Consider the following 15,913-nt stretch of genomic DNA (forward strand, 5'->3'; position numbering starts at 1 on the left):
ATACTATGACTCCTTTTCTATCTTGATATTGCCTCTTAGATCTTTACTGAGTGAAACCAATTTATAATGTGCAAAAATGGGAATGAGAGAAATCGTATCCAAAGTATACACTTTAATGAATATCCATAATCATTCAACTCAACACTACTATGATAGAGTGGCTAAGAGTGCTGGCCTTCCGTCAGTGTGGGAAAGGGGTAGGGCTGGGGTTTGCAGCCCCGATATTATGACACCCAGTGTGGTGGCAGCCCCGTGCAGGGAAGCAGAGCCAGAGCAGGGTGAGGAGGGTGTTCGTGCAGGGAAGAGGCAGGAGACATGAGAGCAGATGGGTTACCCATGGAGAGATTAATCACATAGATCAATCTATTAAAGACAATGGGAGCCAGTTTTCTCCCTTGTGAAGAGGGGTATAACAAATATGGAAAAGGAGAAAACTGGAAATAACCTTACAATGTTGACTTGGAATTGGAGGTATTGATATGACTCATGAGTTTCAAGAAATATACAGAAACAAATATAGATGTAAATGTGTGTTTGTACCTATCAATACACACACACACACACACACACACACACACATTCTCTAGTCTGACCACTGAATTCTAGTAATAATGAGTACAACCAGCACCATATCTTGACTGCTAAATAAAATTCTCCACTAAAAGAACCCAGGGATCTTTGGAGAAATGACTAATTCCAAAAGTAGGGCAGAGACAGTACAAGATGAAACTGGAAAATCATTTTGTGTCAGAAAGTAAGGACATATTCCAAAACTGATAGGTATATGTCAAAGGACAAAGCCAACGTGAAGGGACTTCCACTGGCTACATCTGGGATAATTTGAGTCAAAATAAATGATTATAGTAACAGGTTATAAACAACTGAAGAAATTTAAAAGTCATTAGTTCATACTACAATAAATAAGTTGAAAGTTTGATGAGAAATTGGATTTTGACATAGCTTCAAAGTGCTTCAAGACATTTATTAATTACAAAGGGAGAAAGAACAACTTCATAGCGGAGAAACCTGGAAGAAACCATCTTAATTAATTATTACAAGTGAACAATGCCTGGAATGGGACCAATCAAAACTGCGTGCCACTTGATAGGATGCAATGAGAAGAACACAGCATCACTTCTCTAAGATGCATAATTTGAATCTAATTGTGAGGAAATATCAGATAAGCTAAAATTGAGAAATTTCTACCAGATATCTGGCTCGCGATCTTCAAAAAAGTCAAGGTCATGAACATCAAGTTAAGAATGAAGAGGCCAGGCGCGGTGGCTCACGCCTGTAATCCCAGCAGTTTGGGAGGCCGAGACGGGCGGATCACGAGGTCAGGAGATCGAGACCATCCTGGCTAACACGGTGAAACCCCGTCTCTACTAAAAATACAAAAATTAGCCGGGCATGGTGGTGCGCGCCTGTAGTCCCAGCTACACGGGAGGCTGAGGCAGGAGAATGGCGTGAACCCGGGAGGCGGAGCTTGCAGTGAGTCGAGATCGCGCCACTGCACTCCAGCCTGGGCGACAGAGCGAAACTCTGCCTCAAAAAAAAAAAAAAAAAAAAAAAAGAATGAAGAATTATTCCATATTAAAGGAGACTAAAGAGGCCTGACACCTAAATGAAATGTGTGATTCCAATGTAGATATCCTTTCACTATAAAATACATTATTGAGACAACTGATAAAACTTGAAGGAAGTCTAAGCATTAAACGATAGTTATGTAGTTTCCTGATTTTGATCATGGTATTTTGGATAAGAGAGAGAATGTTCTTGTTTATGAAACATCATCTCTAAGTATGCAGGGATGATAGAGTATCAGGTCAGCCACTTAATCCCAAGTGATTCAGGGAACAAAGAGTTCTTTATCCTCCAGTTACAAGCGTATGGCTGTGGGCAGGTTATTTTGTCTGACTACTTTTGTTTCCTCATCTATTGTACGGGACTAGTGATAGTATCCATCTCTTTGCATTGTTATGAGATTAAATAAGTTGGTAAAGGTAAAGAGGTTATTTAGTGCCTAGTTAAAGTTGGCTAGTTTTTGAGTACCTTTATATATTAGCTCCAACTATAATATGAGAATTATGGTTACTATTTATTTTTGACCTTTCTCCTATTTTGGCCCACTTTTAGTGTGTCTTCCCTTCTGCCCTACTGTTTCCTGTCCATGTTGGTTTCCTTTCCATAGCAACTCTTGCCTCTCCAACACAAAGCTTCATGCTCCAAAAAGCACTGAGTCAGACAGCATGGGTTATTCCTTGCATGATTATAATATCTTCACCAATAGAAAGAGATAATTTGTGTGAACGGTAAATGTACAAAAAATATACAAAAATCTCATTTTTACAGGTTCCATAATGCAAATTTTTTCCATTCAAATAGGAGTTAAGAATTCACTTTAGAACATTTTTGAAGGTGATTTAGATTCTATTGTAGTAAATACCTAAGCTAAAGTATAGCATTCTCTTCCTTTTTACTCTCCGTGAAATAGAATATGTAAAACCTTCTAAAAGAATTTATATGCATAACTCAAGCCATCTTTTCCAAAAACTTAAATTTTAAGTACATGTCAATTATGCATGTATGTAAAACTGGTACTTTGATGCTAGTATTTATTAAAATATTGATTTTGTATAAAATTCCTAGCAAATGTGATTACAACTTTATAAATAGGAAATAGTAAAAAATGCTTAACTAAAGATAGACTCTTTCTTTAGTTTTTTGTTAATAGTAACTATGATTCTGTCATTTTCAAACATCAGCTTTATTACCAAGAACTTATCTGTAAGTTAGGGTTGAAGAGATGGCAGGGTGTTAGTATCTATGTTTATGCACAAATGAGTTGTTGTATTATTGCTGGGTGTTTGGGTGTAAAGAAACAAGAAGAATGTGGGTATGTACCTATCATTGAGAAGACAAAGGAAATCCTGTAACTTCAGCTTTCAACACACTCAACTTGCACTGGGCTGTAAAATCCTGCTAAACTATTTAAGGAGAGGTCTCAGAGCCACATAAAAGTCTCCCTTTAAGGAGGTAGTATTTAATTTCAGATTGTCTGTTCCTATCATGCTTCTATACAGTCTTCTATGGTATTCCACTAAACTAAAATCCAGTTCATTTGGACATCTCAATATTGGACATCAAGACATAAAAATAAAGTATAATATTTCCTTAGTTTAGGGCATTTTGAGGCAGGCAGATCACCTGAGGTCAGGAGTTTGAGACCAGCTTGGCCAACATGGCGAAACCCCATCTCTACTAAAAATATAAAAAAATTAGCTGGGCTTGGTGGCGGTTGCCTGTAATCCCAGCTGCTCCAGAGGCTGAGGCAAGAGAATCGCTTGAACCCAGGAGTCGGAGGTTGCAGTGAGCCGAGATTGCGCCACTGCACTCCAGCCTGGGTGACAGAGTGGGACTCCATCCCGGAAAAAAAAATAAAATAAGTAAATAAATAAAAATATGTATCTTATTTAATCTCAAAGTATAAATTCAAGGCATAAATTTAAGTATAAATTCTTTTTTTAAAAAGTCTACCTTGTTTTGCAAGGAACTATAATAGGAACTCTTGTAAATGTAAAGTTAATTGAGTTTTTTCCCCCAAAATATGTCTGATTATAGGCAACAGGTTCCAGGATTGGCGTCTTAACACAAAATGCAACTAACATGGGACTTTCAGTTATCATTTCCTTTATATATGGATGGGAGATGACATTCCTGATTCTGAGTATTGCTCCAGTACTTGCCGTGACAGGAATGATTGAAACCGCAGCAATGACTGGATTTGCCAACAAAGATAAGCAAGAACTTAAGCATGCTGGAAAGGTAAAATGAAGACTGTTATCACCATCGTAACATTTAAAGAGAAAAACAGTCAGAACTTTATGATATGTTAACTATATGATGTGTTAACCATCTTTATGATATATTAACTTCATCTCTTAGGGATCTGTAAAGTGATATGTATAGAGAGAGAAATGCATACAGACCAATTTAGGATAGAAGGTAGATATGTTATAGCAATAGGGTACATGATTTAGAGCACAGGCTCTGGAGTCTAATTAGCTGAGTTAGAATCCAGATTCTATGCTAACAAACGTGTGATATGAGCAGGTTATGTCAACCTTTGTAGACTTCAGGTTTCTCATCTGCAAAGTGGGAATAATACGAGTATTCACTTACAAATTTTTGTGAATATTGCATAAAACACAATGTTATTATACGCAAAACACTTAGAACAGTGTCTGGAAGACAGTAAGCACGTACTAATGTCAGCCATTATTACTGGGGAAGTTTTCAAACATCATCATTCCCCATTTTCTGGTCATTGAATAATCAAATTTTCTTGAGCAATTCTTCTGAATATTTTATTTTTCAAAACAAACAGGCAATGCAGCAGTTACTGAATGCAAGGCCATGCACTGATATTGATAACATATAAAACAAGGCTTTAGAGACAGGACCATAAATGACCAATTTATTTAATCATTTGGAAAATGCCTGGACATACAGGTATTTAAGCTTCTTAGGATCAACCATATTCATACAAATAATTATTATATTAGAGACTGAAGGAAACATTATGGTGGCATCATAACACCTAAGAATTGAAAGAGACATCATCTGACCCAACCATTAACCTGAAGTAGGAGTCCCTTGCACAACATCCCTGTCAAGCGTCCATCCCCATCTCCTACCACCTTTTCCTCCAGTGGCAGGTAGTACATTACTTTCCCAGGCTGCCTGTACTTGGATAGTCTTGGGTGGTAGGCAGTTCTTTTCCTTTTCTTTCTTTTTTTCTTGTCTTATTTATTTATTTATTTATTGGTGGACTTCTATCTTACTCTTCTTGGCTTTCATCTTGGTAGAGGTCCAAAATCTGTTTTTCACGACAGCCCTTTAGCAGCTGAATCGCTGTAAACAAGGAGACTTCTGTTGACTCTACATCCAGGTCTTTAAGATGTTCCTCACACCTGTAATCCCAGAACTTTGGGAGGCCGAGATGGGCGGATCTTTTGAGGTCAGGAGTTTGAAACCAGCCTGGCCAACATAATGAAACCCCATCTCTACGAAAAATACAAAAAGTTAGCCGGGTATGGTGGTGCGTGCCTGTAATCCCAGTTACTTGGGAGGCTGAGGCAGGAGAATCACTTGAACCCAGGAGGTGGAGGTTGCAGTGAGCTGAGATTGCACCACTGCACTCCAACTTGGGCGACAGAGCACAGCTCTGTCTCAAAAAAAAAAAAAAAAAAAAAGGGTGTTCCTCTCCTAATACTGTTTCAGAGCTCTTGGCTACACTGGTGTACATCCTCTGAATAGCAAAATGATGTTAATATCCTTTATAGTCTGTATCACGGTGAATGTGTCACAATTGGCATAGCATAAATGTCATACATATTCATGAATAGGGATGCCAAGCACATAACTCACTGTAATCTCGTTTGCCTGAGCCTTAGACCTTTCCACCTTTTTTTGCACAAGATAAGGACCCTTGGATTGTTTGCTTGTGCTGTATAGTCTGAACTACCTAGCAAATATTCGCCTCAGAGACAGTAAACAGTTGTTTAGACCTCCTTGTCTAATTTAAACATTGCAATAATTTATACAATTTCTAAATTAATGAGGCCTAATTATGTTTTCCTCATCTTATTTTTTATGTCATGAGCTTTTGCTGTATATGTGCCCTTTGACTTTTCCTTTATGTATCATTAGAGCAACCTCAGACTATACAACAAACAACTCTAATCAAATAGTCAATTGGAGGCATTTCCCTATGGCTTTTAATAAGTCAATTTACTAAACATCAATTTAGAACATAGACTAATAAAATGTATCGGTCCTTCTTCAGTTGCATGTGTAGATTTGGAAAAATTATCAAACGTTTAGTTTTTAAGACTTTGAATGGGCCAGGTGCGCTGGCTTACGCCTGTAATCCCAACACTTTGGGAGGCCGAGGCAGGTGGATCACAAGGTCAGGAGTTCGAGACCAGCCTGACCAACATGGTGAAACCCTGTCTCTACTAAAAATACAAAAATTAACCAGGTATGGTGGCACACGCCTGCAATCCCAGCTACTCAGGAGGCTAAGGCAGGAGAATCACTTGAAGCCAGGAGGCAGAGGTTGCAGTGAGCCAAGATCGCACCACTGCACTCCAGCCTGGGCAACAGAGCAAGACTCCATCTCAAAAGAAAACAAAAAAAGACTTTGAATAGCTTAATTAGTTTTCTTAATGACTATTTTCTAAGGGTCTGTAATAATATTCATCCCTTCTCCATTGTGAAAAATTGGAGATTTTTTTAATGTTCATTCCTTTTTTTATCTTCATTCCTTTTGTTTTTCCTCAAAATTTTTTTATATTCATTCCTTTTGTTTTTCCTCAAACAAGGTTTCAGCATTCTTATCCATTTTCTTCATATACTATGGAATGTTACAAATGGAGGTTTCTTTAAGTCCATTTTTAAATTAATGAGAATTTAAAACAACCAACATCAAAATTGGGAGCAGAATCCTGGTGTCCTCACGACAGTCCAGAAATCTAGTTCCCTCCTACAACCCAAGTTATTCTTCAGAGAAGGCCAAGTGTCTACCTGGTCTTCTCTGTCCCACAGTCCATTCTGCCAATCTGGAAACAGAATGTGAAAACAGGAAGTTTCTCTTTCAAGCCAACACATGTTCTCATGTCCGAAAAGCTATTCTAAACCAAAACTCTCTTCCATTTTGAATCCCATGTAATTATGCATTCTCTTTATAAACTATATAAATGTGGAGAAGTATTCATCACATTTGAATTAAATGTCTTTTTACATTCACAGACGCCAATATGAGAAATGGCTTTATCTCATAAAGAATTTTATAACCACATGCCATGTTACTTTCCTGTAATGTTCCTGAGTCCTTTTAAGTTGCTATTTTTAATTCTTTGCTAGAATAAAATAATTATGTGATTACTTTATCTCTGCTATCTTTTTTTTTTTTTTTTTTTTTTTTGAGACAGAGAAGTCTCACTCTGTTGCCCAAGCTGGAGTGCAGTGGATGATCTCAGCTCACTGCAACCTCCACCTCCCAGGTTCAAGTGATTCTCGTGCCTTAGCTTCCTGAGTAGCTGGGATTACAGACATGTGCCACCATACCTGGTTAATTTTTGTATTTTTAGTAGAGACAGGGTTTTACCATGTTGGCCAGGCTGGTTTCGAACTCCTGGCCTCAAGTAATCGGCCCGCCTTGGCCTCCCAAAGTACTGGGATTACAATCATAAGCCATTGTGCCTAGCATCTGCTATCTTTTACTTGAATTGTTTCATAATTTGTAGGAAGCTCCTTTGCATGTGAACATAATGCTTACTAATGTTTTATTCTTCTGTCTATGGAACAAGTTTAAATTGAAATTCAGTATAAACTTGAATGGGGTTAAACTTAGATCAGTAGACTAAATCTCAATAAGACATTTTCCTTAAGCTTATCATCCAAAAGTGTCATTTTTCTATCTTATTTTCTGGGAGGAAAGGAAGCTAAGAATATTTGTCAGGAAAACTTACTGACTTGATATACTTAATATGTCCCCAGTGTGAGTGACTAGAATTCACAAATGGGAAAAGATTAACCATTACTAATTTTATTTCTATATTGTATTGTCCTGTTTTATAAGATAGCAACTGAAGCTTTGGAGAATATACGTACTATAGTGTCATTAACAAGGGAAAAAGCCTTCGAGCAAATGTATGAAGAGATGCTTCAGACTCAACACAGGTGATTATAGATTCATACTGACTTCAAAAACTTAATTTTGTTCTGTAAAGGCAGTACTCTCAAATGACTCCAGTGGTTTGCCTGCTAATTCATTTGCTCTTGAGCCTTTCCTAATAATGTCATGTCATAATTTCTCATATGACTTCACCAAGAGAAACTAGAAGAGGAATTGAGGGCAACCACAATTAGAATAAATATTTTAGGTCCTCTCACATTACCATTAACTGTCTGTTACTAAGTATGCACATTTTTCTTATTTTCCTGAAAGAATATTAATGAAATAACATACGCAAGAAAGAAAATAAAATTGCGGGCAGGGCGCTGTGTCTCACACCTGTAATCCCAGCACTTTGGGAGGCTGAGGTGGGCGGATCACTTAAGGTCAACAGTTAGAGACCAGCCTGGACAACATGATGAAACCCCATCTCTACTAAAAATGCAAAAATTAGCTGGGTGTGGTGGTGCACACTTGTAGTCCCAGCTACTTGGAGGCTGAGGCAGGAGAATCACTTGAACCTGGGAGGCAGAGGTTGCAGTGAGCTGAGATCATGCCATTACACTCCAACTCCAGCCTAGGCGACACAGCAAGAGAAAAGAGCTCGGCCCTTTACATTAAATCCCTAAAATAGTTTACATTTTAAATACGAATATATACATAATAAATGCACTTACACTTTTAATTTTAAACTAGTCCTCCTTATCACATTGACTTAGTGATGCTTTTTATATTACTTTAACAGAAAGATAGCTTTTTACTCTTTTGGACTCATACTTGTAGTTGGCACCACCCTTTAATTTCCTCTATTCTGTTAATGAAAGATTGTAATGGAGACTTAGAAAATCCTTCTAAATACCTAAACCAAATCTCTAACTCTTACACTAGCCATCCTTTCACGGGCTTTGCCCATTCATTTAACAGTATATAAAGTTAAATTTGTTATACTGAACTAGAGAGTATATGACTATAGGGAAAAGAATTATAACATTATCTGTCTTTTCTCAAAGAATTCTCAGTAGTAAAAAAAAAAAAATCACTTTCTCTTTCATCATTCGAAAAATGCCTTTCCACCAAATTATAACATTTCAAAGTCCTCTCTATTTATTACTCTACATGTATTCAATTGACCTTGCTATAATTCATGCCTCATTATTTGGTAAATTTTGTACATTCCAGAAATACCTCGAAGAAAGCACAGATTATTGGAAGCTGTTATGCATTCAGCCATGCCTTTATATATTTTGCCTATGCGGCAGGGTTTCGATTTGGAGCCTATTTAATTCAAGCTGGACGAATGACCCCAGAGGGCATGTTCATGTAAGTCGTGGAAATAGTCCGGACCTGGTAGCTCACACCTGTAATTCCAACACTTTGAGAGGCTGAGGCGGGTGGATCACTTGAGGTCAGGAGTTTGAGATCAGCCTGACCAACATAATAAAACCCCATCTCTACTAAAAATACAAAAATTAGCTGGGTGTGGTGGCAGGCTCCTGTAATCCCACCTACTCAGGAGGCTGAGGCAGGAGAATCGATTGAACCCAGGAAATGGAGGCTGCAGTGAGCTGAGATCACGCCACTGCACTCCAGCCTGGGCAACAAAGTGAGACTCTGTCTCAAAATAAATAAATTAATTAATAAGTTGTGGAAATACATAAACCTTGTAAGGGGGTCATGTACTTATTTACCAGAAAGATGTCTAGTTTATAGTGAGTTATCATTTAAATCACATATGTGGAAAAGGTATGCTTGAATTTTTTTTAAGTTGGAATTTTTTTAAATATACACATATTTTTAAATTTTGTATTGATATATAATAGTTACACATATTTTAGGGGTACACATGATATTTTGATATATTCATATGATGTTTAATGATCAAATCAGGGTAATTGGGATGAATTTTATTTTTAATTGACAGACAATAATTGTACATATTATATATTTATGGGGTACAATGGGATGTTCTGATATATGTTAACACTGTGAAATGATTAAATCGAGCTAAGTGTTTTTGTTATTTAGTCTCTATAAGTACAGCATAACTGGTAAAATACTGATACTGATATAAGGCATAAAATCTGAATTAAATTCCCAGATGAATTGCTCTCTGCTTCAGTTTACTGGAACATGGGAATGTGGGGGCAAAATATGCCTTCTTGTCATTCATCCCTTAGGAAATTTGTGAGACATTATGAAACTCTCAGTGTGGAGATGGCTTCCTAAAGTAAGACTGTACATCAGTGAGGATGAATTATTTGCTAAGCAAATAATCCAGAAGAAACACATATAAATGAGTGTTTCCCTTCAAAAATGTCACATTTGGAATTGAATGTGGTGTCCCAGTGAGGCTGCTTCTTCCCAAAGCATTAGGTTGGAGCTCCTATTTTGAAGTTCTGGTCACATAATTATGAATTTATTTGTTTTACCGGAACATCTAATGCAACTGCTAAATTAGAAAAATTAATTTTGAGTATTAATTCTGAGCTGAGAGCCTAAAATATCAGAAATGTTGCTAATCCATCATAAACGTCATTGCTAAGCATTTAGAACTGGAGAAATCCATACAATACTTGACTCAAAAAAGTAACATTATGTTATTTTTAACAAGCCCACCAAAAAATGCACATCCATGCAAGTATCAGCCTCTTCACAATAATGAATTGGGAGATTACACCTGTTACAAGGATGCTGCTATTTGGCAGAACACACTGGGCACTTCTCTTTGGGTTTTGTTTCCCAAGTCTCAGGACATTACTTTGAATATCCTTATTGTTGGCATATTTGTATTTTCAGGATAGGTTCAATTTGAGGAAATGGCCAAAAGACATTTAAACCTAAGTAATTTCAGAATAACTTGGAATAATTTTTAGTTTCTATTCACATGAAAATTTATTTATTTATTAAGCATTAAGTGAAGTCCCAGGAAGTTTCTTTGTTAGGCACTGATAAGAAAACAGTCCAGAGTTCACCAACCCAGTATTCCTAAATCTTACCTGACACCAAAGCCACTTAGAAGTTTCCTGGAAGCAGATTTCCTTATAAAATGGAATATGGAAATGGAATATCTGTATTTAAAATTTCAACAGAAGGGCTGGATGTGGTGGCTCATGCCTCTAATCCCAGCACTTTGGGAGTCCAAGGCAGGTGGATCACCAAAGGTCAGGATTTCGAGACCAGCCTGGACAACCTGTGAAATGCTGTCTGTAGTCAAAATACAAAAATTAGCCATGTATGGCGGTGCATGCCTGTAATCCCAGCTACTTGGGAGGCTGAGGCATGAGAATCACTTGACCCGAGGAGGCAGAGGTTGCAATGAGCCAAGATCACACCACTGCACTCTAGCCTGGATGACAGAGTGAGACTCTGCCTCAAAAAATTTAAAATAAAATTTCAACAGAAATTGCAAGTTCCCTGTCCTATGTTCTCCTAGCCTCTAAAATAGTGTGCACTATTGCCCATGTGAATTTATAAACCACAATTATATTTAGGCTTGGGTTTCATTCTGATTACATAAGACTAATTACTTAGGTAGATTAACAAGAAACAAAATCTGAAATCACATAAATAATTCAGCTCACCAGCCCCCGTGAGCCAGTTTTTCCTTTGTTCTAATATAATCCAGGCACTCCCAAGCTTGAAAGTTGGTTGTAATCCAAAAGTTTGTTTGCAAGCCAATAGTTTGAAACTCAAAACATGTTTTCCTCATGTTGCTCTAAACTTTCCACAGACTTCTTTAATCCCCAGGGCCCCGTTCCTTCTGTATAACTAGTTTTGAGTATTAGTAGAAAGCAAGCCAATTAAACATATTCATACTAATGTACGAGGTTTGATGATTTTCCAAATTCTCACAGAAGAATTTTCATCTGTTTTCATCAATTTCTCTGTCACTACTCTTTCTTTGCTTTGTAATCACACCTATAAAAAAAAATAAGAAGGCCAGGCACGGTGGCTCATGCCTGTAGTCCCAACACTTTGGGAGGCAGAGGTGGGTGGATCACAAGGTCAGGAGCTCAAGACTAGCCTGGCCAACATGGTGAAACCCCGTCTCTACTAAAAAATACAAAAATTAGCTGGGCATGGTGGTGGGCGCCTGTAATCCCATCTACTTGGGAGGTGAGGGACAAGAATTGCTTCAACCCCGGAGGTGGAGGTTGCAGTGAGCCGAGATCACACCACTGCACTCCAGCCTGGGCAACAGAGCAAGACTCCAACTCAGGAAAAAAAAAAAAAAATATATATATATATATACATATAAAATTTACTGGATCCTGTTTTTCAGCCAGGACTCTGTGTGTTGGAGGGCTTTAGAGCTCCCAGACCTTTCATCTATTACACTTTCATTAGTGTTCTCATCCAATCTGTCAGTTTTAAATACCACCTGTGTCCTGATAACTTCCTTCTGTATATTTCCAACTCTGACCCTGCCCTGAGCACAAGACCCTTATCCAATTACTTAGGAGACACCTCCACTTGGAGGACTAATATCTCAATGTGTTCAAAACAGAATTTAAGGTGTTTCTCCCCAAAGGTTATCTTCCCCAAGACTTTCCCATCTTAACTAATAACACCAACCACCATCCACACAGTTGTCAGCCCAAAAATGTTGGAGTCATCCCTGTTGCTTCTCTTGCCATTGTCCACCACATAAATCACTGATTCCTCATGACTCTAATTCCAAAATTCTTCTCATCCTCTTCACACTCATCCAAGCCCCTCCCTGTCTTGACTGGACCACTGCAACAACCTCACCAATGTCCTTGTGTCCACTCTTGCTTCCCTATAATCCATTCTCCACACTGCAGCCAGACTGATCATTTAATGCACAAATCCAATAGCACCAGTTTATTAAAATTCTGCAAGATCTAGATCTTCCCACTGAAATTTGAATAAAGCCAAAGTCCTTACCATGACCTGAAAGACCTTCATGATGGGGCTGCTGCGTTGCTTTCCAATTTCATCCACCTCTATCTCCCATGTTAACTACTCATCAGCCCCACACTTGCCATGTCTGTCCCTGGACCTCCCCATTGCAGGGTCTTCACACTTGCTATTCTCTGCCTGGAATGGTCATTCCCCAGGGCTTTGCTAAGCTACCTTTTTCTTACCACTCAGGCTTCCCCTGCTAAGTCCACTCCTCAGAGGGACTTTCACCGATGGTCCAAAGTAGTTCCCCTAACCCTCCCTCCTCATCACTCTCTTTCCCATCACCATATTTTGTTTACAACACTTATGACACTTATGATTCTATGAAATTATATTTTGTGTTTCCATATTTATGAGTGCATAGACTGAGCACAAGTTGTAACCTATCTTGTTCACTGATGTTTCCCAAAAGCCAAAAACAAGTGGGTGGCACATAACAGACACACAATAAATATTTATTGAATGAATGACTGAATCAAAATTAAGGGGGAGATTTGGAATGGTACATAATTAGGCAGTACAGTCATTTCTGGAAATGTGCCTTCGGAGTCACCTTCACACTTTGAAAACAGGAGTCTGTTTTTCACAAATTTTTCTAATTTTCTTCTTTTCTACACCCATATGTCTAATACCAGGTGCTTTGGCAGGAGGACTGGATCTAAATCGAGGGCAACCATTGATATAAAATATGATGTGTGGAATTGAGAATTTACCTGTACCTACTGAGATTTGTTTAGATTAAAGCTAAGAAAAAATTTCTCAGTCGAAGAATGATACAACCTCAAAATCATGCCAGTCACTTTCATGCCTGCAAATGACACCCGTTAGGATGTTTCCTTTAAGGGGCTTTCCAAGACTGCCAACCATTCCATTACTTATGAAAATTGCTATAACGGCAAATCTTGATTGAATCTTTACTCAGTTTTAAGTATTTGCTGTATATTATCTGTTTAATGCTCTAAACTACCCTGTGAAATACTATGGTTCCCATTTTACAGATGAGAACAATTAAGACTCAAAGAGGTTACCTAACTTGCTCAAAGTTACATAATCGGTAAGTAGCAGAGCACAGATTCAAGTTCATGGTTCCAGATTCCAGAGGTTTGGTTTACTCAACGTACATTATTATTATTATTATTATTATTACAAATTCTGTGGCCAAACATTCATAGAATATTTCTGTGAAATTATTTTTTAAATAATTCTTGCTTAGTTTTTCAAACATTCGAGTATTCAAAGTTGGGCTGATTCCTCACATATAAATGGAACAGGTGACCTGCTTAGTGCTATTTTATAGCCCTAAAATATGAGAATGAAAAGTCCCCAATATAAAATTTCTTCCCTGAGCTGGCCTACCATACTTCCTGAATTTCTTTTAATTAAATTCATTAAAAGGGGGTCTCTTCTAGATACATAAGCATTTTAACTATCAGAACATATGAAGGACTGTTAACATAAGAGTAACAATTAAAGAATAGTACCACCTTGGTATTTCCCAGTGCCCCAAGGGAAGGAAGAAATAGAGAGCTATCTGAGCTAGAGCCACTGGTATCACTTTTCTTCTCTTTTCTTTTCTTTTCTTTTTTTTTTTTTTTAAGTTCGAGTCTCGCTCTGTCGCCCATGCTGGAGTGCAGTGGCACGATCTCAGCTCGCCGCAAACTCCGCTTCCTGGATTCAAGCAATTCTCCCACCTCAGCCTCCTGAGTAGTTGGGACTACAGGCACATGTCACCACACCTGGCTAATTTCTGCATGTTTTGGTGGAGACCAGATTTCACCATGTTGGCCAGGCCGGTCTCAAACTCCGGACCTCAAGTGATCCACCTCCCTTAGCCTCCCAAAGTGCTAGGATTACAGGTGTAAGCCACCACACCCAGCCTCACGTTTTGAGTTTCATCCAGTCAGAATACAGACAGAATAAGGGTACCCACACTTTTGGAGTATGGACAAAAGAGAGATTCTCTAGGGATTCTCCTCCAGTATTAAATGTGGTTATTGCCCAAAAGAGCAACATAGCACTATGCATAATGTCAATAGATGAGATTTGTCTTCAACACCAAAGAGGATTTGGTCCTAGAGATCAAATGTGGCCCCAACTACCATGAATGTGTCACAAGCTCCCTTTAGACACACTAAATGATACCTGGCCTAGAAGACTCTGTACCTTCCAGAATCTAGGATGACAGACAGCTTTCAATCTCATCGACTAGCTAAACCAAAGAAATTTACAAAGAAAACTCCCTCCTACTAGAATTCTTCTTAGATAAAAAGCACTTTGAGCCATTCTCTAAACCAATGGTTTTCCAACTCAGCAATCTAGGAGCTGGTTAAAACTGTAGATACCTAGATCTCATCCTGCAAAATCTGATTTGTAGATCTAGTATGGGGCAGGAATCTTCATTTTATCAAACATTCCAGATTACTCCAAGGCATAATTTATAGCTACAAGGATGGATTATCTGTGTCTCTTTCAAAAATGACATTGTGTCTCAGAAAGGGAGATACACAAAGGGAGTTTTAACAGCAAAATTCTTTAATGTGCTCATAATATTAGTTTGTCAGCAAGGCTTTTTAGAGGAAAAAGCCTCTAAAAGAAAAAAAAAGACAACACGCATGTCTTATGGTAGAAGCCGTCTCTATTTCTACTATCCTAGAAGTTTATCTGAAATGAGCATTTAAAATAAGGTGATAACATTTTCATTCTGCCACCTTACAGACAAGGCATAGGGGCGTTTAGAAAATCTCTTGTTTAGGTTCTCATGCACCCATGTGTAGTAAAACACTCACCTCTCCCTTTGTTAGTCCTGGTAACACATTCTATTTGTTATTTCACTATAAATGTGTAGATTTAGATGTACAAAATAAGTTTATTTTATCCTATCTCTTTGTGTTAGTCCCTTTCGGCTGGTTTCCAGCTGACTTGCCTTTTGCAATACCGACCAAGAACCATTCCTAATCAGGAGAGGTTTCTGTAGCCTTCCTTTCCCCACTGCAAAGCTTTCTCTATCTCTGTGAGTTTCTTCCATATTTTCTATCCATATTATCAAGAAGCTAAGCAGAGCATATAGGTAAGAAAGAATCAAGATATGGCAGCCCTCAATACAGTAATAATAAAAGCCACAGCTTTGAAAACTGCCTGAGAAGCAGAACCAGGCAGTTTATGGGTGTGTTTCCTAGTTCTCTTAAAAACCAAATGCAGTTCTTGACAAGAAACCACATTGTATTTCCAATAATAATGTGATTATTG

At 38.0% G+C, this 15,913-nt stretch overlaps 1 protein-coding gene across 2 annotated transcripts in view; it reads left to right on the plus strand.

The window, feature by feature from the left end:
• Positions 1 to 15,913, plus strand: part of ABCB5 (ATP binding cassette subfamily B member 5) — a 141,342-nt gene that overhangs the window by 103,728 nt on the left and 21,701 nt on the right. For both annotated transcript variants that reach the window (NM_001163941.2, NM_178559.6), the window contains 3 exons: positions 3,622 to 3,825; positions 7,646 to 7,746; positions 8,921 to 9,061. In NM_001163941.2, the coding sequence (NP_001157413.1) occupies positions 3,622 to 3,825; positions 7,646 to 7,746; positions 8,921 to 9,061 (446 nt within the window). The remainder of the gene's footprint in view (positions 1 to 3,621; positions 3,826 to 7,645; positions 7,747 to 8,920; positions 9,062 to 15,913) is intronic.

This window comes from Homo sapiens, chromosome 7, assembly GCF_000001405.40.
Source record: "Homo sapiens chromosome 7, GRCh38.p14 Primary Assembly".
Classification (NCBI taxonomy): Eukaryota; Metazoa; Chordata; class Mammalia; order Primates; family Hominidae; genus Homo; species Homo sapiens.